Source organism: Homo sapiens, chromosome 15, assembly GCF_000001405.40.
Source record: "Homo sapiens chromosome 15, GRCh38.p14 Primary Assembly".
In the NCBI taxonomy this organism is placed as follows: domain Eukaryota; kingdom Metazoa; phylum Chordata; class Mammalia; order Primates; family Hominidae; genus Homo; species Homo sapiens.
This window is the reverse complement of record NC_000015.10, coordinates 28,024,563-28,050,718: the sequence shown is the minus strand read 5'-3', so window position 1 is coordinate 28,050,718 and position 26,156 is coordinate 28,024,563. Positions and strand designations below refer to the sequence as shown.

Genomic DNA, 26,156 nt, shown 5'->3' with positions numbered 1-26,156 from the left:
AATCATCATGAAATGGATTAAAGACAACCTGAGGTGTATGAAGCAATAGGTGCGTATTATGTCTGTCTCCTAGATGAAGAGGATGCGTGCGTATGCTCATTCCCATGCTTTCCCACCACTGGAGGGCACTGGTCTTTTTTTTTTTTTTTTTCTTTTTTGAGATGGAGTCTCACCCTGTCACCCAGGCTGGAGTACAGTGGCACGATCTCGACTCACTTCAACCTCCGCCTCCCGGGTTCAAGCTATTCTCCTGCCTCAGCCTCCCAAGTAGCTGGGATTACAGACGCCTGCCACTATTGCTGGCCTGCTAATTTTTGCGTTTTTAGTAGAGACGGGGTTTCACCATGTTGGCCAGGCTGGTCTCGAACTCGACCTCAGGTGATCTGCTTGCCTCAGCCTCCCAAGAGGGTATTGATCTTTTCCTTTTTTTCTGTGAAACAAGGTCTTGCTCTGTTGCCCAGACTGGAGTGCAATGGTGCGATCAAAGCTCACTGCAGCCTGAAACTCCTGGGCTCAAGCGATCCTCCCACCTCACCCTCCTGAGTAGCTGGGACTACAGGCATGTGCCACTACACCCAGCTAACTTTTAACATTTTTTTTTCTGGAGAGATGGGATCTTGCTATGTTGCCCAGGCTGGTCTCAAACTCCTGGCTTCAAATGATCCTCCTGCCTTAGCCTCCCAAAGAGTTGGGATTACAGGTGTGAACTACCACCCCAGCCCAATTTTTTCAATTATTTTTAGTGTGGAAAAAATATATATCATATAATCTACCATTTTAGCCATTTTTAAGTGTACAATTCAATGGCATTAATTACATTCCTAATGGGCAACCATCAGCACAAATTCTAAAATTTTTTCATCACTCCAACTATGAACTCTGTGCTCATTAAGCAATAACTCTCCGTGCCTTCCTCCCCACAGGCTCTGGAACCTGCAATTTCCTTTCTGTCTCTGTATTTACCTTTTGTAGATATTTCATACACGTGAACTCATGCAGCATTTGTCCTTTTGTTCCTGGCTTATTCATTCAGCATGATGTTTTCAAGGTTCATCATATTCGGCATGTGTCAGAATTTCATTCCTTTTATGAGTAAATGATGTTTCATTGTGTGTATATACCATATTTTATTAATCTTTTATTGATAGACATGGGTTGTTTCCACATTTTGGCTATTTTGAATAATGTGGCAATGAATATTGGTGTATAAGTATCTGAGTCCCTGCTTTCCATTATTTTGGGATATACATCTAGGAGTGAAATCGCTAGATTATGTGGTAACTATGTTTAACTTTGTGAGAACCTGCAAAACTGTTTTTCATAGAGTTTTCCACACTTTGCATTATTACTAGCAGTGCATGAGAGTTCTGGTTTCTCTATATACTCACCAACATTTATATTCCTTTTTTTATTCTAGCCATCCTAGTCAGTGTGAAGTAATATCTCATAGTAGTTTTGCTTTACATTTCTCTAATGACTAATGATGTTGAGCATCTTTTTATGTGCTTATTGGCCTTCTGTATATCTTCTTTGAAGAACTGTTCATGTAAGTCTTTCGCCCATTTAAAAATTGGGTTGTATTTTTGTTGTTGAGTTGTAGGAGTTTTTAAAATATTGGATACTAGACCCTTATCAATATATGATTTGCAAGCAATTTCTTTAATTCCATAGGTTGTCGTTTCACTTTCTTGAGAATGTCTTTTGTTCTCTTGTTTTTGAGACAGGGTGTTGCTCTGTAACCCAGGCTGGAGTGCAGTGGTGTCATTATGGCTCACTGCAATCTCTGTCTCCCGGGTTCAGGCCATCCTCCTCAGCGTCTCAAATAGCTGAGACTACAGGTATATGCCACCATGCCTCACTAATTTTTGTATTTTGGGTAGAGACAGGGTTTCACCATGTTGCCCAGGCTGGTCTCAAACTCCTGAACTCAAGTGATCTTTCCACCTTAGCCTCCCAAAGTGCTGGGATTATGGTCATGAGCCACCGTGCCCGGCCCTGAAATGTCTTTTGAAGCGCAAAGGATTTTAATTTTGATGAAGCTCAATTTATCTATTTTTTTTTCTGTTATTGCTTGGGATTTTGGTGCTATAGCTAAAGATCCATTGCCAAATCCAAGGTCATGTTTGTTTTTTTCTAAGAATTTTATGGTTTTATCTTAAATAAATGATCTATTTTGAGTCAATTGTTTTATAGGGTGTGAGGTAGGGGTCTAACTTCATTCTTTTGCACGTGGAAATTTAGTTATCCCAGCACCAATTGTTGAAGAGACTATTTATTCTCTGTTGAATGGTCTTTGCACTCTTGCCACAAAACTGGTTGGCCATAAGATGTATGAGTTTATTTCTGGACTTTCATTTGTATTCCATTGTAGTAAGTTTTGATATTTGAAAATGTGAGTACTGGAAAGTTGTTCTTTGTCAAGATTGTTTTGGCTGTTCAGAGCCCCTTGAAGTTCCATATGAATTTGATGACCAGCTTTTACATTTCTTTGGAATTTTGATAGGTGTTGCACTGAATCACTTTGGATAGTATTAAAATATTAATGACATTAAGTCTTCTTATCCATGAACATAGGGTGCATTTTAATTTATTTAGGTCTTCTTTAATTTCTTTCAGTTATGTTTTACAGTTTTTAGTGTACACGTCTTTTACCTCTTTGTTAAATTTATTTTTAGCTATTTTGTTCTTTTGGATGCTATTGTAAATGGAATTGTTTTCTTAATTTCCTTTTTCAGATAGTTCATTGCTGATGTATAGCAACACAACAAATATTTTGCATTGAAAATTGTACTTGCAACTTGATGAATTAATTTATTAGCTCAGTAGCTTTCTTGTGGATTCTTTGGGATTTTCTACATATAGATTCATGGGATCATGTCTGCAAATGGAGATATTTTTACTTCTTCCTTCCCCATCTGGATGTCTTTTATTTCTTTTTCTTGTTTAATTACTCTGGCTTGAACTTCAAGTACAATGGTGAATTAGCAATAGTGAAAGTAGGCATCCTTGATTTGTTCCTGATCTTAGGGGGAAAATTTTCAGTCTTTTACCATTGAGTATGATGTTAGCTGGCTGTGGGTTTTTCATATATATCCTTTATCACGTTGAGGCAGTTCTCTTCTATTCCTAGTTTTCTGGGTAATTTTCACCCTACTCCCAGAGAGCTTATGCTTAAGATGGAAGATGGCAGGAAGACATAACAAGTGGGGGAAGAAGCCTAGACCACGTGTTTCCCTGGAGTCCATCTATATGACATGAGGTCTGTCTGTATGTCTTAATGGTGATGAAGTTGACAATGTTCAAAGGATGGTGCCATGGACAGATAATCATGCCAAGCTGGAGAGGTCCGAATTCATCCTCTATGCCAGTGTTTCTCATAATGTGGTACTATATCAATATCTCCTAGGTGTTAAAAATATAGCTCTTTGAGCCACACTCTCTTCTGAATCAGAGTCTCTGGAGGAGGATTCTGGGAAATTGTCTTTGAAGTAAATTCCTCAGGTGATTTGACTGTGGGCTTATTTTTGGAAACCACTGCTATAGGTCATGGTGGGAGAGAATGAGGTGAGAATGGTGTTTTGGGGAGTCTGAAGTTTGTGAGATGGCCTGGGATATAGGCCAGGGCATGTGTCAGGGCCTGACCAAAGAGAGGGATGCACAGGCAGGCATGGGAGTGTGTGCTGGCAAATTTTTTTCGGAGAGGGGAGTCCAGTGATCTTTGGATTGTTCCAGATCTAGAGTTGTTCCCAATAATTCTAGGATCCCAAAATTTTCAAAGAGGATGACAAGAGGGAAATCTTGAGCAGGTGGCTTTTAGGAAAACATTAATTCATTTTTAGGCATGTCGATTTGAAGTAAGAGTAAAGCCAGGCTTGTGGCTGCCTACCCTGTGTGAAGAGGCACAGCCTCTATAAAAGGAATAACCCCAAATTTCCATCACAATATCGGTTCATTTCTTGCTTGTATGGATGAAGTCCACTTGGCAGCATGGTGGTAGTGCTGTGGTCATTATTCAGCACCAGCATGATAGGTACCCTGTCCTGTTGTTGTCAGTGCATGGTTGGTTGCCCCTTCCCTCCTTTCCCCCTGCCCTCTGCCCTGGGATATGACCTCTAGGGACTTCTTAGAGCTCCCTGGTGGCTTCTGGCTGGGTTCAGCCCATGGGGCATGGTAGGAGATGGAGCATGATGCGACTGGGGCTCTTATTTCTTCAGTCCTCCCTTTCCTGTCCTCCCAGAAAGACCCTTGTGGCTGATGTGTCCTTAACAAGAGACCTCCATTCATCTCAGAATGGCTCTTCTGCAAGACTCTTTTCTGCTGGGTTCTGACAACTGCCTCCTCCCTTTATCCCCTTCAGGCCAGGGGTGGTAACAGATCTGCTGTTCCTAACCCCATCATACTGCACGTGTGTTTTCCCTACACTCTGCCTACACTTTTGCAAATTTTCCCTTTATTGAATCCTCCTTGAATTATTCTGACTTAGTGAGCCACCCATTTCCTTCTGGTATCCTGACTGGTAGAATAGCTTCCAAGATGGCACTGCGGGTAAAGTCCATCTGGAGTGTGGAAGAAGAGAGAGGGAGGATGATGCACAGGAAGAGAGAGTCTGGAGTGTCATCCATCATGTCCTCCTCTGGCCACTATCTGGGACTTGGTTCTGTGGTCCCCTGAAATAGAAGGGGTGGGACACGTGGTCCCTAACCAGCGAGCCATCTCATAGCAGCAACTCCACACTGAGCAGCTGCCCTGGTGAAGAGCTGGTGGTCTGTGTTGCAGGAAGGGGCAGTTCTCAAGACTGAGGGTTTTGGTATGAATATTCAGTATCACTTAACCTGATATCACCAGGATATTTTAGGTGTCTTAAGAGTGATGATAGCACAACACCCTGTTTTAGAGACTAGTATATATGAGTTTGGAGGAAACTGTGACAGATAACTAAGAAGTATTTGTTGGAGAGAAATACTGGATTTCTCTGTAAAATACTGTAGCCTGGATTTAAGTAGTTCTGGCATTTTCTGTGCTATGTGCCGGGTGCTGTGCTGGGAGGCAGTTACATAAGCAAGTGGCCCTGATATGTTGAGTTAAATGTGGTACTGGTGAGTGTGAGGTCCAGCCAGGTAGAGGGTGTATGAGCTCCAGCTCCATCAGAGGAAAATGGGTCTGCACAAAGGAATGGAGGGTACCAGAAACACTGACAGCTTTGTAAATCTACACATTCCTTCTTATCATTAAAAGGTAATTGGCAATTGAAATAAAAATAATCAAAATGAAGTGTGCGTCTCATATCACATGTAAAAATGTGACAGCAGTGATACAAAGGCTGAGGAGAGAAATGGAAGCACACTCTTCTTGTATGTGAACCACAGTGTACCATAGAGGTAAAGTGTTATATACTGTATATGTGTACATACATGTATATATTCCTATTGTATGCTCTCTAGCAATGGGTATAATATCATTTTCAGTTAGACTGTGGGAAGTTAAAGATGTATACTGTAAACCCTAAAGCAATACCTAGAATAAAAAAGAGTTATAACTAATAAGCCAATAAAAGGATAAAATGGAATCATACAAAATAATTAATGCAAAATAAGGCAGAAAAAGGGAACAAGGAACAGATTGTCAAATAGAAAACAAGTATCAAGATGGTAGATTTAAATCTAAATATATTTCTAATCACATTATATGTGAATGGACTTATTATCTCGATTAAAAGGTAGACATTGTCATATTGGGAAAGAAATAAAAATTGAACTATATGCTACTTATAAAGGAACCAATTCTAAGTATTAAAATCATTCTAAGTATTAAAATAACATATGGAGATAGGTTAAATACAAAAATGAAAAAAGACATACAGTGCTAAAACTGATACTGTCCAAAGAAAAATGGGATGTCTATATTAATATCAGAAAAAGTAGGTTACAGAGCAAAGAATATTACTAGGGACAAAGAAGGCCAGACCATAATGATACAGGGGTCAATTGATCCCAAGGACATAATTCACAGTGCATATGGACTTAGTAACAGAGCTGCAAAATACACGAAGCAAAAACTGATAGAACACAAGAAAGAATCATAGTTGGAGATTTCAATACCCCCTTCTTATTAATTAATAGAACAAATAGACAGAAAATCCTGTAAAGCCATGACTTGTTCAGATGCCTGTAGCACGTGGCAGGGATAATTGCCATCTGCAGAGAAATGTGCTATTATTCACTGTGACGAGTCTCCAGGCCGTGTATGTGTCAGGTCCATGCCAGGCCACTGGGACAAGAATCTCCTGGACAAGCATCCTGGACAAGCATCCTGGATAAGTATCCAGGAAGGCCAGTGGTTTTCGAAGAAGAGCTTAGGAAATATACCTAGCCACTGTGTCACTGGCAGAGTCTACCTAGGAACATGAGATAGGGACAATCTGCCATCTGCTTCATGCATGCGTTGCCACCTACTATCATTTCAGAGAATGCCCTTGAATGTTTCATTGATTTCAAATTAGATATTGGTTAGAATAATTTTTTAAGACTATACTTCCCCTTTTTTTATGTGGGATATCACTGTTGAGCAAGTTGTACACATACACATATATAATATGAAAAATGTTAACACAAGTTGTAAAATGGTCTTTCAGAGAGCTGTCTACTCTGGCAAAATGGAATGAGCTCAGGCTTCATCCAATAACATATGGAGGTACTGTCTGCCCATCTGTGTTCCTGTTGACATTGCTCAATGTTTTCCTTTCCAGGACTCAAGCATTCATTGGCCTTTCTGTGAAAGTATGGCTATTAGGAAAAGATACAGCTTTTAACTCATGGCCTGCACATCATTCATTAACATGAAGAATCTTATCTTTCTTCCTTGAAAAGCATAGCCCATCTGGTTTGTTTTGGGAGGAGTATACTTCTGTGCTTTGTGCAATAAAAATGATTTATCTCTTCAATAACCAGCCCAGTCACAAGCCCATCTAATGTTAATAATTAATTTTGGGGCTTTCCAGCTAACTGGAGTGAATGTTGGTCTGATTTCTTCCCTCGGGTTTTTTCTGCCTGAAAACAATCCTTCCAATACTGATTTCTTTGCACACTGGGCTGAGATTTGAAAACTTGCTTAATTACATGGCAGTGGTTCTCTAAACAGGAGTCTTTCATGTTCCATCCGTTTGCTTTGAAAAGGAAGGATTGCATCCTTATGTCTGAGGAATTACTTAAGCCCAAGGATCGAATGTTCTGTTTTACTACCTGTGTGTAAGCCCCAGAAAAAATGGGCACCAATCTTCTTTATTGTGATTTTTGGAGATTTATTGAGCGATCACCAGCTTCACAGCAAGCTGGATAGAAACAGCCATGCATGTTTGGCTTTATTTCTGGTATGTCTACTTCTTGTGTCTCACTGGGCTCAGGCACTACCCTACCACCTCTCCGTCTCTCTGTTGAATTGTAAACTTCAAAAATCCTACCACTGGGCCTACTTGCTGTTTAAACTACTTTCCTTAGGGGAAAGGACAATTGAAATTAGACCTTAAATACAGGTGATGTTCTTACATCCAAGTAATCCTAAAATTGCTCCTGTAAATATTTCTCAGTGAATACCTCCCCAGGCTTTGGGGCATATGATTATACTTTTTTGCCAATTATTAATATCCATTTATATTCAATATTTCTTGTGTTAACTGTCCTTACAAATTGTCTGGAAGCATTTTAAAAACAGTTTGTAGACATTCTCTTAAAAATATTAATTTGCACCCTCTGTAATGAAACTAGTTGTTCGAACAAAGGTTACCATCAACCCTAACATATTTTCCAATTAGGGGGCACTGCTAGGATTGGTGGAGTATAAACGAATAAAATTTTATTATGTTGGCAGAGAGAGAAAGTGAAAAAACTTTTCACTTGTAAAGACTGCATTCTTTTAATCCCTTTTTCTGCTACTATTAATATATAATATACAGGGCATCTTGGTTTGGCAATTCATTTGAAACTTTAATATTCCTATTAATACTCACTTTACCTCCAAGTCCCTTAATTTTTAGAAAGCATTTTATTTATTTATTTATTTATTTATTATTTATTTATTTACTTTGAGACAGAGTCACACTATGCCACCTAGGCTGGAGTGCGGTGGTGCAATCTTGGTTCACTGCAATCTCCACCTCCTGGGTTCAAGTGAGTCTCCTGCCTCAGCCTCCCAAGTAGCTGGGACCACAGGTGTGTATCACCACGCCCAGCTAATTTTTTTTTTTTTTTTTTGTATTTTTAGTAGAGATAGGGTTTCCTCATGTTGGCCAGGCTGGTCTTGAATTCCTGGCCTCAAGTGATCCACCCACCTTGGCCTCCCAAAGTGCTGGGATTACAGGCGTGAGCCACCGCACCTGGCCCGAAGGCATTTTTAAAATAAGAGTTTCTTCATTTCATAGAATAGCTAGAAATGATAAGTAGAAATGATTAGTTTTCATCTTGTATTTCAGGGTTTCAGTACAGTCTTTCATCCCATCATTTCTTGAATTCCTATTTTCTATCCTTCCCTGTATCATTTATTTACTGTGCAAATTTCTCTTGTTTTCAAGTTGATAAGTTCATTCTTCCTTTAAAAATAGCATGTAATATTTGATCTACACAAAATAATATATGTAACATATGGATAGGTTATGAAGTTTAGTTTTTACAAACCCCTGTATGCTCACCAACCAATTGTTCCTCTTTTACCCCATCTCTTTGCTTCCCAACATGGAGACTTCTCTCTGGAATTGTGTATTTAAAATTCCTGTATGTGTACGCATGCCTCTCTCTCTCTCTCATCTCATGCACATTCACTCTTTCTATCTAAAACCAAATAAATTTATCCTAAACAATGTATTCTTCAGTGTGTCTTGGTTTTGAGCCTTATAAAAATTGCATCATGTGTGTATTCTTCTATTTTTCTTCATGCAACATTATGTTTCTAAGATTTATCCATATTGATTTGTTTAGCTGTAGTTCATTTATTTCCACTATTGTGTGAAATTCCATTGTGTGAATATACCATTGTGTGTTGATTTTGTATCCTTCAGTTATGCTGAATTTATTAATCCTAATGATTTTAAAAATGGAGTCTTTAGAGTTTTCTACACATAAAGTTGTGTTATCTACAAATAGAGATAATTTTACTTCTTCCTTTCCAGTTTGGATGCCTTTCATTTGTTTTTCTCCCCACCTGTTCTGGCTAGAACTTCCAATACTGCATTGAGTAGAAGTAGCAAAACAGGCATCCTTACCTTGTTCCTAGTCATAGGGGAAAAGCTTTCAGTCTTTCACCATTCAGTGTGATGTTAGCTGTGCGTTTTTCATAAATAGTCTTTATTATGTTACAGTAGTTTCCTTCTATTCCTAGTTTGCTGAGGGTGTGCATTTTTTTTTTTTTTAATCATGAAAGGGTGTTGAACTTTGTCAAATGTTTTTCCTGCATCAGTTGAGATGCTCACGTTTTTTTTTCTTTACTGTGTTAATGTGTATTTCATAGATTGATTTTTCCCATTTTAAGCCATCTCAGTATACCAGGAATAAATCCTACTTCATCATGGTGTATAATACTTTTAATATGCTGCTGAGTTTGATTTGCTTAGTATTGAGTATTTTGTTGAGGATTTTTGCATCAGTATTCACCAGGAATATCGGTTTGTAGTTTTCTTTTCGTATAGTGTCTTTGTCTGGCTTTGGTATCAGGGTAATGCTGGCCTCATAGAATAAGTTAGGAAGTTAGGTCTCACAGAATGAGTTTGCCCTCCTTTTCAATTTTCTGGAAGAGTTTGAGAAGAATTGGTGTTAATTTTTCTTTAAACGTTTGGTAGAATGCACCAGTAAGGCTATCTCATCCAGGGCTTTTCTTTGTTGGGAAGTTTTTGATTACTGATTCAATCTTTTTCCTGGTTGTAGGTCTATTCAGATTTTTTTATTTCTCCATGATTCAGTCTTGGTAGGTTGTGTGTACTTAGGAATTTGTCCATTTCATCTAGGTTATCCAATTTTGGGGCATACAGTTGTTCATAGTATTTTCTTATAATACTTTTTATTTTTTAAAAATTGGTAGTCATGTCCCTGATTCCATTTCTGATTTTAATAATTTGAGTTTTTCCTTAGTCAGTCTAGCTAAAGATCTGTCAATTTTGTTAATCTCTTCAAAAAACCAACTTTTGGTCTCATTAATTTTCTTTATTTTTAAAATTCACTACAGATCTCCTCTCTAATATTTATTATTTCTGTTAGCTTTTTAGTTTAGTTTGTTCTCCTTTTTCCAGTTCCTTATCGTATAAAATTAGGTTGCTAATTTGTGATCTTTCTTCTTTTTTAATGTCAGCATTTACAGCTATAAATTTCCCTTTTAGTACTGCTTTCACTGCACCACATAAATTTTGATGTGTTATGTTTCATTTTCATTTGTCTCAAGGTATTATATTAGTTTGCTAGAATTGCCATCACAAAATGCCAGACTGTGTGGCTTAAACAACAAAAATTAATTTTCTCACTGTTCTTGAGGCTAGAAGTCCAAGGTCAAGGTGCTGGTATGGTTGGTTTCTTCTGAGTCCTGTCTCCTTGGCATGCAATGGCTCCACTCTTCCTTCCTCTTCACATGGTTCTGTCAGTGCATGTGTGCTCCTGGTGTCTCTTTGTGTGTTTGAAGTGTTTGAATTTCCTCTTCTTTTTTTTTTTTTTTTGAGATGGAGTCTCTCTCTGTCACCCAGGCTGGAGTGCAGTGGCACAATCTTGGCTCACTGCAACCTCCGCCTCTTGGGTTCAAGCAGTTCTCCTGCCTCAGCCTCCCGAGTAGCTGGGATTATAGGTGCGTGCGACCACACCCGGCTATTTTTTTATTTTTAGCAGAGACAGGGTTTCACCATGTTGGCCAGGCTGATCTTGAACTTCTGACCTTGTGATCCACCTGCCTTGGCCTCCCAAAGCATTGGGATTACAGGCATGAGCCACCGCGCCTGGCCAAACTTCCTCTTCTTATAAGGACACCAGTCAGATTGGGTTTAGATCCATCCTAATGGCTTCATTTTAACTTAATCATTTCCTGAAAGACCTCATCTCCAAACACATTCACACATTGTGGGGTACTAGGGGTTAGGGCTTCAACATAGGAATTTCAAAGCTACACAGTTCAGCCCATAACAGGTGTTTTCTAATTCCTCCTTTGATGGATTGGTTAAGAGTATGTTGTTTAATTTCCACATTTTGGTGAATTTTCTAGTTTTCCTTCTGTTATTGATTTCCAGTTCATTCCTATTATGATTGGAAAAGATACTTTGTATTACTTCAAATTTTTAAAAATTATTAAAACTTGTGTCCTAACATATGGTCTATTCTGGAAAACGTTTCATGTGCACATTAGATAAAAGTGTATTCTGCTATTGTTGGGTGGAGTGTTTTGTATATGTCTGTTAGGTCCAATTGGTTTATAATGTTGTTCAAGTCTTCTGTTTTGTTATTGATCTTCTGTCTGGCTATACTATCCATTATTAACAGTGAAGTATTGAAGTCTTCAACCATTATGGTAGAGTGATTTTTCCCTCCTGTTTTGTCAGCATCATATATTTTGGAGCTCTAATGTTTGGTGCATATTATTTGTAGTTGTTATAACTTCTTGGTGAATTGACTCTTTTATCATTATATAATATTTTTCTTTGCCTCTTGTAACGGTTTTTGTCTTAAAGTCTATTTCGTCTTAACTCTCTTTTGGTTACTACTAGCATTGAAATATCTTTTCTCATCCTTTCACTTTCAACCTATTTATGTCTTTTGATCTACAGTGCATCTCTTGTAGACAGCATATAATTGAACTGTGTGTATGTGTGTGTGTTTTAAAATCCATTCTGCCACTCTTTGCCTTTTGATTGGAGAGCTTAGTCCATTTACACTGATTTTGTTTAGTTATTTATCCATGTTTTGCCAAATGGCTTTGTGCTGGGTCAATCCTTCATAACTGGCTGGGTGTGCCTTGAACCTAGAGACCAGCATGAGGTGAGTGCTTACAGTCTTCTCAGATGTTTTCTGAGCATGCATCTTGCTTGATCATGTTTGTGTTTTTTTCGGTTTTTCAGTACACTTTTCAATATTTTAATTTCCCAAAGAGTCTCATTCAAACTTCACCTTGGTGCCTTAGATGGACTGTGGTCTATCTTTACCCATAATCTCTTTCCTGAGAAGTCTGTGAATCTGTACTCTCCCTGTTCTGTGACTCTATCTCCTGAAAATGTGTGCATAGGGCCACTATGCAAAGCTGTGCTGAACTTTGCACTGTATTTTTTCTGTGTTACGTTACACTTAAAGGGCTGACCTTGCTCATACAGAATGATGCCAGACTCCCAGAGGCTCTGACTGTACACGGGTGAGGAATCATAGTCTCCTTCCAAGCCTTCTGAAAAATTGCCCATGAGAGCTGGCAGCTTCCTTACTCATGTTTCTTCCTCAGATCTGCCTTCTGTCTATGGGAAACATGTTTGGCTGTGTTCTGTGTGGTTGCTTTTGGGGTAAACCTAGCCTTACCACTGCCTGCTAGTTTGCTTTTTCCTCCTGGAAAGGCAGCTTGGGTCAGTGAAGCCAGGATGAAAACAGGCCGCAAACAAGAGTCCCTGTCAGAGAGAGGGAGAGAGAAAGAGAGGAGAAGAGAGAAGAGTACATAGGGATACAGAAAGAGAAATAGCGAAGGGAGGAGATAGGGATAGAGAAAGAGAAAGAGAGAAAGAAACAGACAGGTGAAACCTTGCTAGTCAGCCTGCTGGGCAGAGGGGGCTACAGGAGGGCTGGGTTCTGTTGGCTTGCTGTGGCTCCCCATGACTGCTGCTCCATGCAGAGTACATCTGTACAGAGGGTACCATGCCTGGCACAATCCTCAGGCTGGGATGTGTTGCCTTCTGGTGGGAGGGAAGGGCTGGGGGATGGCATCAGGTGCTGGACACATGTTGGCCCTGCCCTCAGCAGCTGGGAGCCTATCCTGAGTCCCATTTGCTCCTTTTAAAATGAGGATAATATTATCTACCTTCAGGGTTATCATGAAGGTTAAATGAGATAAAAAAGGTGATAGCTTCAGCAAGAGCCTAACATAGAAAGTACTTGCTTAAATGACCATGGTTGTTATTAATACTCATCAACTAAAATCCTGGTAATAATATGGTGGGGAAAAGGCCTTTTGTCTACAGGATACTTCAGAGATACTGTCAAGCAATTGGGACAGAGAGTGAAGGGCCCCAAGTAGAAGGCCTAAACCCGCTTCTGCTGTCTGCGGCCTGTCTCTTGCCCTGGAGATACTTCCCATGAGGGACCCCTCCTGGTCACTGCTGCATAGGCTCTGTTACAGAGAAGGCCTCATTGCTCAGCTTGGTTTTCCCACAGCTGATCTCCAATGTTACCAACCACTGGGGTCCTTCCTGTTACAGACCTCCTGACCTGGGTGTAGAGGGACCACCAGCTGCCTTCCTGCCCTCTGACTTCTGCTTGATTTATTTTGGTCCCACTCCCAGTCTGGCCCTGTCTTGATTTCTCTTGGTCCCACTCCCAGGCTGGTCCCACTCCCAGCAGCTCTTTTACACGGCTCTGCATGGCTGATGCCATCTGCCACCTGCCCTCTGTCCTGAGCCATTGGCTCTCGACCTTCCTGCCTGCTCTGTGGTCTTCCTGAGTGGTGCCTGGGAAAGAGCCTGCATATGACTTGAGCAGGCATCCCTTGGAGAATCTGTGGATGTGAATTTGGTCATGCACAGGTTAAGGCAGTGAAAGCACTTTGTATTCCTTGTTACCGGCTCTGTATCATCTTGTCCAGCAGAACTGACCTCAGCAATGGCTGCATAAATGGTGCCTATGTGGCACAGGGCCTAAGAAAGACTGAGGGCAAACCTCTTCCTCCATGCCTGGTACCCCAATCACCACCTCCCCAAGCTGTCATTTGCACTAACCACTGTCTCTTTTTTGGCCTTTAAAAATGTAAATTCTTTTGGAAGTGTTCATATATTAGGTACTCAATATTTTCAACATTTTTTAGCTCATTTTTTGTCAATATGATGATATAAGCATCATAGGATTGTTAAGTGTTTTGATCTAGAAAGAACCAAGGGATCTAGGGATGAGGAAGCTGTTGAAGAAGAGGGCAGAAGAGGCAGAGGCATGGGCAAGAAACTGTTTCCATCTCACAGTCTGACATGAACCTGTCTTATTAATAATCATGGTAGCAAGGGTTCTTGACAATGGTGGATCTGCCTCAGATCCATCAATTCTGGCTGTTTAAAACTTACTGTTTGAGGATTTTAAACATGGCTGATACCGAGGACTAGTGGGGATAGCGGTTTGTTCCTGCCTGTAACTGAAACAGGGAGTAATGGGGACAGGCTCTCTTCCAGCAAAAGGACCATGGGCACCAAGAAACTTCTTGATCCAGTGACCTCACGTCTAGGAATCTATCCTAAGGAAATAATTAAAGGCACACACAAAGAGTTATCTACCAGGACTCACATAGTGTTTGTTATTTACCCAGGTGAAAAACCAGAAATCCCCTAAATTTCCATCAACAGACAGATGGTCAGGCATAATTTGATGATCCATGTAATGGAATATGATGGCTGGCATTTAAAAATCACATTGTAGAAGAATAGCTAATATTTGATAACCTGTGAAATGCTAATGAGATAGCTGAGCTGAACAATTAGAGGACAAGGCAATTTGTATACGTGAATATGTATATGTGTGAATGTGTGTCTCTGCACTCATATGTATGAATCTGACCTGAAAATATTCATTTATATGTAGGAAAAGAACATTGAAAGGAAATTCTCTAAATGTTAACATTGGGTATCTCTGAATTAATAGAATTATGTACAGTTGCAGTTGTTTTATGTGTTATCTTCTGTAATTTCCTTTAAAATAAGTATAAATGTATAGGCATTTATAAGCTTATAAATGCTTATAAATGTATAGGCACATAGGGATTTTGTAAATGTATATACAGAGTTTATTGAGACATGGGGGAAATCAGACAATGTGGAAATTAGTAAAACTAGACAGTGCTCAGTCTTAGACTGAAGTCAGAAAAATGTCAATGGGATTTCTTTTTTCAGAAGAGGAAAAGTCAGGAATAATATAGATCTCATCAATATTTTCTACCTTATTGAAGTCAAAAGGAGAAAAAATTGGGCTTTCAGCTTTGTGGACCACCATTTTTATTTTCAACCTCTGGAAAATGTTTTTGGGCAATCCTGCATCTTCTCTACATGTGATCTGTGAGCTCTCTGGATCACAGGCCAGGGATTCTATCAAGCAACAGGGCCCCAAGGCCTCCTTGGTGCTTCCCCTATTTGCAGAGAGGAATGGATTTGGAACATTGAAAATGGTATCCGGATGGTGTTAAGTTTAAATTGGAATGGCCCAAAGTCTCTTTAGGAAATTGCCTGGTGAAACTCATTTTATTTTTGGATTTTTAGAAATATAATTACATAAAAAAGCTCAGAAATGATTACCTATATGCTTAACTACAATTATAAAATACTTTGTATACACAAAGTGCATAAATGTAAGTGTTAAACAGTAATAAAAATCAGCCAGATGTGGCCACCACAGAGAAGATAAAATGGACTTTGGATTTTTCCCCATTTCTAATTTTCCTTCTTAGTGGCAAGAAGGTAAATCCTCCACATTGTGCGATGTGGTGCTGCTGTGGGCTGTTTTGAGACCCCATGGGTCATGCTTTCCAAGGAGCAATAGCGCCTCCACTCTCCTGGGCACTCTCCTGAGCACTCTCCCTCTCCTGAGGGTCTCCTGACCCTCTCGTCAGAGGGTTGATATTGAGTCTATAAACATTATTGATTTAATGATTTAGAAAACTTGTTTTATTTGAGTTAAAAAGCCAATCTCATGCAAAAAAGCTATGATTACTAGGTTTTAACCCATTCATTATTAAGTGTGTATGTATGTATTTGTTTTTGTGACAGGGTCTTGGTCTGTTGTCTAGGCTGGAGTGCAGTAGCACAACCTCAGCTCATTGAAGGTTTGACCTCTCAGGCTCAAGCAATCAATCCTTCCACCAGCCTTCCCAGTAGCTGGGACTACAGGAGTACACCACCACACCCGGCTAATTTTTGAATTTTTTTAGAGACAGGGTTTTGCTATGTTGCCCAGGCTGGTTGTGAACTCCTAGGCTCAAGCAATCCACTTGCCTTGGCCTCCCAAAGTGCTGAGATTACATGTGTGAGCCACTGTGCCCGGCTCATTATTGAGTATTTATTAAGAACTTACTTTGAACTGGGTGCCACTTACAGTACCAAATAAAACAAGATGAAAACATGGCAGCCATTCTTAAGGAGCTCACAGTCTAATGAACCTCAGTGAATCAATATCCACAATCTATCTTTATGTTTTCCATTTACATCTCCTTAGTTAATGTAAGAAAACCAAGGATTTTTGTTTCTTTTTTTAAAGCAAGAGGGTCTCCTCCAGGCTGGAGTGCAGTGACTCCATCATAGCTCACTGCAGCCTTGACCTCCTGGCCTCAAGTGATTCTCCCACCTCAGTCTTCCAAGTAGTTAGGACTACAAGTGTGCACCACTATGCCCAGACAATTTTTTATTATTTTTATTTTCCATAGAGATGGGGTCTTGCTATGTTGCCCAGGCTTGTCTTGCACTCATGGCCTCAATCAATCCTCCCACCTTGCTGGGACTACAGGTTGGAACCACCATGCTTGGCCTTGTTTTCTTTTAATCTACATTGCATGACTGAGAAAATGGAAGCTCAGGGCTCAATAATGGGAGGGAGGTCACCGTCTCCGTAACACTCAGCTCCCCTAGACCACCCCAGGGAGCATCAGAAAACATCTGGTTGTTTGGTCCACTCACTGTGACATTTTCTAAATGTACCTAGGGAGTTACAGTTACAGATTTATAGTTATGGGAAACAGGGGTGGGAGGATCTCAACTATAAGCCAGTTTGAGCAGCTAAAAGCATGCTAATTATTAAATCTCTTGGGCAGAGAGATTCTTCCAAATCTCTCTACCTTCATCTGGCAAAGTTAAACCACCTACTTTGTAATTCTCTCTCCTGCCCTGCTGACCTCTACTGGCCGTTAAGTCTCTGAGGAGAGTCCTCAATTACCTGTGTTCTCCATGGGAAGTGGCCCAGTGCTGCCCAGAGATGACGCCCAGCGGATATTCACTGGCCCCAGACAGACTCCTTTTCTGACTTCCCAGAGGCATGGTGCTGGTGTTAGACACAACTCAGGGGCCCATGTTTTATTCATCCACAGAAGTCTTATTGTCTATCTCACAGGTGAATGCTTGAATGAGAAAGAAGCAAGCAAAAATATTTTTCTTAAAATTTCTTCCTTTGTTGTGCATTCGTGATCAGAAAGAATTACTGTTATTTCCCTAGGTGAATGTTTCATAGCATCTACAGCATCTCTACCTGGCCTGGGATCCTGTAAGAAAGGCAATGCATCAGCATATAAAATGACATATTCTCAGTGATCAGGAACGAAAATTGTTCCTACAACTTCTCATGGAAAGCTGGTTGTCTTTTAACATCATGTGTCCTTTAATGAGGGTGACCATACATGCCGGTTGTGGTTGTGCAGTTACTTCCTTTTCCACAAGCTCCTGATTTAAATGATACATTTATGGTGGTCCTTCCATATGGCAGGCAGGCCAGTGTGGTGGAGGACCATCCTGCCCAGTGCAAACCTTTGCTTTGCTTCAGTTGTGGCTGCTGTCCTTGGAGAGCTTCCTCCTTGCCATTCTGATTGTCGTCTCATTCCAACCCCTTGGTCCTGATTTGTTCTGTTTGGTCTTCCAATGGACGCCATTAGGATATTTTAAATGTGAACTGCTTGTGATTTTAGGAAATAGAATTTTCTGCCTACAAAAGCACCAATGAGACTCTGAATGTTTTTTTGTTTTGTTTTTTTTTTTTTTTTTGAGACAGAGTCTCGCTCTGTCACCCAGGCTGGAGTGCAGTGGTGCAATCTCGGCTCACTGCAACCTCCGCCTCCCAGGTTCAAGCAATTCTCTGCCTCAGCCTCCAGAGTAGCTGGGATTACAGGCACCCACCACTATGCCTGGCTAAATTTTTTTTTTTTTTGTATTTTTAGTAGAGGTGGGGTTTCACCACGTTGGCCAGGCTGGTCTTGAACTCCTGACCTTGTGGTTCACCCGCCTCAGTCTCCCAAAGTGGTGGGATTACAGGCGTGAGCCACCGCGCCCGTCCCTCTGAATGTTTTTCTTGATGAGAAGCTCTGCATGAAATAGCAAAGGTGGCCTGAATCTCCTGCTAATGCAAAAGTGAGCCTAAAAGTGTCATCCCATAGTATTTGGTCTCCTGTGCGAGTTTCTGCCATGCATTTTCAATTGAGTTGGGGAGAAGAGGTCTTTCTTATGGTGTCTTCTAAAACTTCAGCCTTTTACAATTCAGACAGACCCTTAGGCAAATTTCCTTGTAAGATTTATCACTGAATCTTGGGCACATTCTTGAATCTAGCACCTGAGTGCTGGGAACACATACATTATTTCTGTGTTGGTGATTCTGTTTCCTACCCTGTCTCTTTCAGGTCTCACTCTTCTTTGCCCCAGATGTCCAGCTCCAGGTCTAAAGATTCCTGCTTTACAGAAAACACTCCTTTGCTGAGGAATTCCTTACAGGAGAAAGGGTGAGATATTTTCCCCCTCATATGAAAGTAAGAGTTTCTGAGCATTGCACCTGGCATGTATGCTGGAGAACTTGAGACACGAATTTTTATTGGACATGTTTAACCTCTGCCAGATCCTTGACAATTTATTGTAGTAGATGTTCATGATTCCGGTGGTTATATTCTGTGGATATTAATTTCCAGATGGCCTTGAGCATAACCCTGCAGCAACTGCACAGCACACACGCACACTCATGCATGCACAAAGCTCTGATGGGCTGTCTTACCAGGCTGGGGTTTCTCAGCTAGGGGTGAGGTTGGCATTGTCTGGAGACACTTTTGGTTGTCACACTGAGGGCTGAGATGCTTCTGGCATCTAAGGGTAGAGGCAAGGGATGCTCCAAACATTCTGCAATGCACAGGACAGCCCCCACCACAAAGAATTATCCAGCACAAATGTCAGTAGTGACGAAGTTGAGAAACCCTGTATATGTGTTTCACAAGAAAACTCAATTTCCTGCAAACTTGCAGGTCCTTTTTGGGCACAAATCAGGGTGGTTCTGGAATTGCCTGAGGAGAGCTGTCCTGGAGGGCAAGTTACAGATGCTTCCTTCTGGGATGAAGGGCCTTGGGCCAGGCCTGCAGCCTCAATCTTCTTTTCTTTCTGCAAACAAACCGCCAGAAGCCTGAGCCGCCTGCTCCATGTTTCCTGGCTCCTTGAACGTCACAAACTTGGTGACATTGTCACTGTCAAACTGAAATAATAAAAAATATCAGAACCCAGTTTAAAATTATTTATTCAAGCACAAAGCTGAGGATAGCCATTTGGGAAACACAGAATCCAAAGGAATGGGATCAGTGCTCCAAAGCTGAAAAGTTAAGGTCTTATTCTTATCCATATAGGCAGAAAACAAAGAAATGTAGAAGGACTACATTTTCCATACATGGCTGGTTTATGAGTTACAGCAATTTGATTAGTTACAGCTTCCCCCCTCCCCCAATTTAAAAGAGTATATTTGACATTCCATGTTAGACAATGTGATAGTCATGAGGTCTTTGTGTGAGAGAAGAAAGAAGGAAGTTAATCTGTCAATGAAGATCAACAGTGAAGAGGGAAGGGGTCTTCTCTCGTGCCCGGTAGTCTTTTACAACATTTTACAAAACAATGTAGGTAAGGAAAAAGGCAAATCTAGAATCAGAGAAAAGGCCACAGCTGCCTTTTATGTGACTCTTTTCATAATCACATTCTTTTAAGACTCAAAATAATTTAAAGTTTCAACAGCTTTGATTTTGAATCACTTATTTGCACATCATGGATTCTCCTTTCCCTGCCCACTGATGGTGTGTACCTGCATTGACAGGAGGGCTGCTGTGTCTTCTTCACTCACCTCTGAGCTTCCGAGGAGCTGCCTCCTCTCTCCCCAGCCCAGTCTGCAGCCAGGGCAGGGACCAGGGCTTCGCACTTTAGGGGTGCTTGCATGCCATGTGCATTCCTGTCCTCAGCCTCCAAATACTCTGGCTCCCGGGATTTGGATGGTATGCAGCCATCTGGGTTTATCATTTCTCAGTGCAGGGATGATTTGTTCACATGAAGCCCTTGACTAGAGGAAACTCCTTCACTCTCTGGCTCTCCAGGCAGTCAGTCCTACTCCTGTCAAGGGCATTCAAATGTCACTTCCTTTGAGGACCCTTAGTTGTCTCTGCCCCACCCACCAAGAGTCAGTGCTTCTCCTGTGCTCTCAAACACTACATTCATGCCCTTACTTCCAAACTAGCCCCTGTGCTATCTATGGTTATGTTGGCCAGCCTGTCCCCTCTTCATCGTACATCCTGGCACCTAGTACAGTCCCTGCCACCAGCCCCTCAGTGACTGGATGGGTAAGGAGTGTAAGCTGAGGCACTTCCACTGACCCAGCTGCTTCAAGCTTCTGTACTGGTGGATAACTGAATTCTCCTCCATTGCTCCTAATCAATAACTTTTAAGACAAAAACTTTACGCACCTATTCCCTTAATGCTTTCTCTTGAATTACTTGGTAAATTGTGAAGGCCTGTGACATTTTAGAACTTGCAATTCATTGGAAAACCATTAATGTGTAAGCATTTTTTCTGGCATGCAGAGCAGAGACATGCCCTGGGAGGCCGAGCTGGGCCTCATGTCACAAAAACCATTTCAAGGGAGTAGAACATGGGTCAGCTTTGCTTACAAAACGTTTTCCTTTTCTCTTTTTGCATGAAGCTAATTAAGGTATTGGTGGTAGGAATGTCTTTTTCATGCTTTACTTTTATCAACTTTATTTTGTTGCAGTTTTAATTTGATCAAATGGCTTATTAGGATAATATCCATTGATTTATATATTTTCAGAAGTATTCTTTTAAGGGTGTTGACAGCAGGAACGTGTGGTACAAAGGTCAAAGCATGCCCTGTATCTGAACTGACAACTGGTAGCCACTCTTCACAGATGTTTATTTAAATTTAAATTAATTAAAATTAAAAATTCACTTCTTCAGTTGCACTAGCCACACTTCAAGTGACAAATAGCACATGTGGCTGCCATATTGGACAGGGAAGCGAACATTTCTATCACCACAGAAAGTTCTATTGCACAGCACTGCTCTAGAAGGCAATGACATTAACTTGCTTCCCTCTGTCTTCTTATAAGAAAAGGTTTTTTTTTGTTCCAATTTTGTTACAGTTGTGTTTTTTTCAGCAGTTGGTGTGATATTATTTCTCACACACCTGAGCATTTTCCAGTCACAAAATTGATAGGATTATCGACTATTTTCAAAGTCATGTGTTATCTTGTTACACATTGGTTATACACAGCCTAATTGGCATCTCTACGCTTCTTCTGAATAACATTTTTTCCTTGTGAACCACTTCTAAAGCAGTCATAAGTGTTCAGGAGAATCACAATGCCCCATTGAGCTGGCTCCATTCTAGTGTGTCACAGATCACATCTGTTAACGTCAGTATTGTGAGCCCATGAATATTCTATATGATACATGAAAATTCTGGCTTTTGGTACAAACTTTTAAGAGTCAAGTGCATCTAAACTGAAGGAACTGATCAGGTCAGGGATTCAACCAAAAGTAAATGGAGGCTCTGTACAGTGGCTCATGACTGTAATCCCAGCACTTTGGGAGGCCAAGGTAGTCAGATCACTTGAAGTCAGGAGTTCGAGACTAGCCTGGCCAACATGATGAAACCCCATCTCTACTAAAAATACAAAAATTAGTTGGGCATGGTGGTGCACGCCTGTAAGCCCAGCTACTGGGGAGGCTGAGGCAGGAGAATCGCTTGAACCTGGGAGACAGAGGTTGCAGTGAGCTGAAATTGCGCCACTGCACTCCAGCCTGGGTGACAGAGCAAGACTCTGTCTCAAAAAACAAAACAAAACAACAACAACAACAAAAATCCCAAAAGTAAACGGATGTGTTTTCAAGTAATTCTGAGAAAAGTTTATGATTCCCCTTGAGTCATCTAGATATAGGCCCCATTTTTGGCCTGTATAGTCAGGTACGAATGTTCCCTCTTCCTGCTCATGCTTCTGTGGATGTTGTGTGGGAAGCCAGGTAGGCCACCTTCCCTACAGCTCCACTGCAGAAAGAGATCTACACAGAGGAGGAAAAACTGACACCACTCACCCTGGACAAGTCTCCCAGATCTAGGTATTGACTACTGGAGTGCATGCAGTGAAAAAGCCAACGCTGAAATCAGCGGGAACTGGTCTGAGCCAGAAACAGCTTTCTTGGAAAGTCCCAAACTCAGAAAAAGCTGGTTTCTTGAAGGCCCACAATTCATTTTGAAGACTTTAATGACTCCAGAAAATTTCCTTTGACCTAAGTGTTCTGAGAGGTCACAAAAAAACCCATTCCCACCAGTATGAGAGTGCACCACTGTCTGTGGTCCTTTGAAAGACCAGGGTTGATTCGGTGCCATTTCACACAGTCAGAACTCAGAGGAAAGCTTGCTTTGTAGCCATTACTATTTCAGGAGAGATAACCACACCTCTCTTGCTTTCCAGGTCACGGTGCATACCTGTTTACCATCCAGAGTTCATCACTGCTGAAGAGTCTTGGGAAGACAGCTCTGCTGACTGGGAGCGAAGATACCTGCTAAGCAGGGAGGTGTCTGGTCTGTCTGCATCTGCCTCCTCCGAGAAGGGAGACCTTCTGGACAGCCCGCACATCCGACTCCGTCTTTCCAAGCTGAGGTAGGCGGACTTGGGGTGCCCACCCTGGCAGCAGCGGTGGCCGCACATCGCGTCCTACATGGCCCCTCCATCTTTCAAACCAGCAGCGTGAAGAAGAGGATGAGTTTTGTCTCATCTGGCCAGGCTGCACTTTTCCTCCAAGGTGATTTATTTTTACCTGGGCCTAGGGAGACATTTAAGACCTCCTGCAAATCATGCAGCGCCGGAGAGGACAAACCTAAATGATTGACACAGTACACTCCTCTCCTTCCTGCTTGTGTGGCTGGGGTCTTCATGGCCATTAGGTTTGCAGATAGGATCTGTTTGCTTCAGGCGTCCCCGTGGCGTTTTGGAATTTGATATACCTTTGTAGTTATTGACGAAGGAGTGGGTCTGGCCCAGCGCACAGCCTGAGGGGTGGGGTTCCCTTCTGTGCTGTGGGCTCCAGAAACCTTGTTAAGGCTGGAAACATTTTAGAACTTACAATCCGTTGGAAAACCATTAATGTGTAAGCATTTGTCCGGGGCACACGGAGCACAGAGCCATGCTTGGGGAAGCAGAGTTGCATAGAGAAAGTGGATGGTGCACATGCCTACGGGAGCAATGGGTGGGGAGGGGATGCGCATGCGTAGGGGGACGGCGGGCGTGGGAGTGGGAGTACGCATGCGTGTGTAGGCCTAGGGCGCGCATGCGTGGGAGGCCGAGCGTGTGCGCGGGCAGTAGCGCTCTCACCTTACTGGCCTATTTATCTAATGGGTTTCCTCCCATGCGCCCGTTCATTTGAAAGGGTTCTTTTGAGAGGGACATGTTTGAAAGCATCATTTCCAGGACAGAACAAGGTTTTGGAGCCGGGACCAGTGGGCTTCCATTCTGGATCCGACCTGAAGTCGCTGAGCGCCCATCGCAGGGCCTTGCCTGGCCACGCGACGGTACCCTGTCACGCGATGCCCTCCTGGCTTTGTGGCCTCTCACGGGCCTACACTAAGATAATATGTGTGAAAGCCCTAGAAAAGTGAAAAAACACTACTTAGTCATCAAATATTAGCGTCACCGTGTCTCTGTGTGTGGGGACCAGTCTTTTCTGAAGATGCTCGCGGTTGGTTGGAAGTGTACCCGCCTGCACGCTCCAAGTGCACCTCCCGGGGTGCGAAGAGGCCCGCCTCAGACTCCCTGAGGTGCGTAGGGATCCGCTATCCTATACATCTTCCCAACAATCCTGGGAGGTACACGGAGGGTACCTCAAGGAGGATAAGGCTTTTGCCCAAGGCCACACTGAGCCAAGCCAAGGGGCAGGGATTCGACCCTAGATCCCCCACATCGCTGCTTGACATGGAGCTGTCTCTTCCCACTGTGACTCTCAACGGCCTGTAGCTTCTTCCTGATGAGAAGAAGGGGTCTCAGCCCCCCTCGTGGGTGCAATAAACATTTGGCCAATGAATCCGCTATGAGATTATGTGAGTTGGGTGAAATTGTGTGAGTGGGGTTCTGGCGCCATGGGTCAACAAGATGGCAAACGCTGACACTGTTCATGCCTTTTCCCAGCTGGACGGGTAACCACTCCTGAGGATGCCGTGTCCTCAGCTGTCCCACAACATGGAAAAATAGAATCAAGTACATTTGAGACTTTTGCATTCAGTACTTGTTTTATCTTCTATGATTCATGGAATATTTGCCTTTGAGCTTGCCACTGAACTAAAAGACGTTAGCTCCATTCTTTATAACATGTCTAAAAAGTACCATGCGTGATCAGTGAAGAATCTTGTAAAAAACCTTTTATTTTGGGTTGTCAGCTCTGCTGCAGATGTCAGTTACGTAGAAAGAAATTTGTATTTAGAATAGCTCAATTAATGCTTCATGCTTTAAAAAGAAATGTCATTTTGATTCCTATTTAAGTAGGAGCTGTTGAATCGTAATTGGGAAGCGTGAACTGATTATTCATCAAATTCATTAAATCTAAGAGAATGCAAAACAAGATTTTACCATTTTCAAAGGATCAGAAAGAAGGTTTTCAAAGACAGATGCAACTTAACTAAGTGAGGAGAGTATTAAAAAGATGTTCCAACATAGAGTTTCTTATTTCATTCTACACACATACATCAAGCATGGGCTATGTACCAGCATCCTTCCATGTGTGGGGACAAAGCAAAAACGCTCTAGTGCCTGCCCTCACGGAGCAGCCGGTGGGAGAGCACAACCTGGACTGGGCAGTGATGGTGCCATTGGGTGATGGGGTCTGGCTGCTGAGTGAGCAGAGAAGGGCATGACAGGAGGACTGCAGTCAGGGAGCATCCCGGCAGGCAAAGGCCCTGTGGTCCGGTCTGGGAGCAGCAAGGACGTTGGTAGGATGGAAGGGCAGCAGAGTGCAGGCCAGGCCCAGGTTCACATAGGGCCTTGGGGGTCATGGTTAAGAAATGGGTAATGGTAAGGGGGCCGGGATGGCTTTGGAAGTCCTTGGTAGGGGCTGAGTGTGTGGCTTGATGGTTAATTAAGTTATCGCCTAAGGAATTCTTAACAGACTGCTGGTACAACCAGTAACGGCATAGCAATTTCTTTCTTAAGTTATTTGTTTTTGTATTTGATGATCAAATCTGTATTCCTACCTTTCAGAAAACTTAGGGGAAAATAATTGATAAATATGAATCAGAGAGACAAGATAAGGCATTCAGTTTACTTTTTTTCCAGGAAACAGGAGCCTTTAAACAGCTATCAAAAAGTCTCAAATCTTGAACTTTAGTTTCCCCAACAACAAGCTATGTGCAAACACTTTGGTTAACTTTGTTCTCCTCTGGAACCTCCACCATGCTCCTTTGGATGGGGCTGTGGGTTTACTGGTCACTGATATGAGGGTGTTCTCCCTCATATCATGTTATGGAAAGAATTCAAAACACATGCTTTGAGATGGAAGTTACTCAAGGCTGCAGAAAAGTGTCTGAGTCTGGGCAACAGGACTGCTGCCCTTGCCACTAAGGCCCTACTTTTTCTCTTGCAGGCGCTGTGTGCAGTGGCTGAAAGTCATGGGCCTGTTTGCCTTTGTGGTGCTGTGTTCTGTGAGTACCTTAGCTGCCCCAGCACTACTGTTGGGTCCGTGGAAGCCCTGTGTGCCTTTGGCTGTATAGCAGGGGGAACCTGAGGTGTGGGGCTCAGTGCCTGGCCCTCTTCGCCTGATTCTCTGACTGTCTTTGGAGGAGATGCTGAGGGTTGTGGGGCAGCGGGCTGAGGGGGTCGAGGCCGCAGCTGTGCTCCTCTGCTGTGGTCCCAGTCACACGGCAGAAGCCGGGCAGCATGTTGTTGCCATATGGAAGGTCGGGTAGCTGGCTGTGGGGCTCCCT

At 42.1% G+C, this 26,156-nt stretch overlaps 1 protein-coding gene across 30 annotated transcripts in view; it reads left to right on the top strand.

Annotated features, from left to right (window-relative positions):
* OCA2 (OCA2 melanosomal transmembrane protein) overlaps window positions 1-26,156 on the top strand; it is a 380,308-nt gene that overhangs the window by 48,597 nt on the left and 305,555 nt on the right. For all 30 annotated transcript variants that reach the window (XR_001751294.2, XM_047432619.1, XM_047432618.1 and 27 more), the window contains 3 exons: window positions 18,556-18,654; window positions 22,660-22,848; window positions 25,817-25,874. Coding sequence is in view for 29 of the 30 variants with exons in the window: in XM_047432619.1 (XP_047288575.1) it covers window positions 18,556-18,654; window positions 22,660-22,848; window positions 25,817-25,874 (346 nt within the window). In the remaining variant the exon portion in view is untranslated. The remainder of the gene's footprint in view (window positions 1-18,555; window positions 18,655-22,659; window positions 22,849-25,816; window positions 25,875-26,156) is intronic.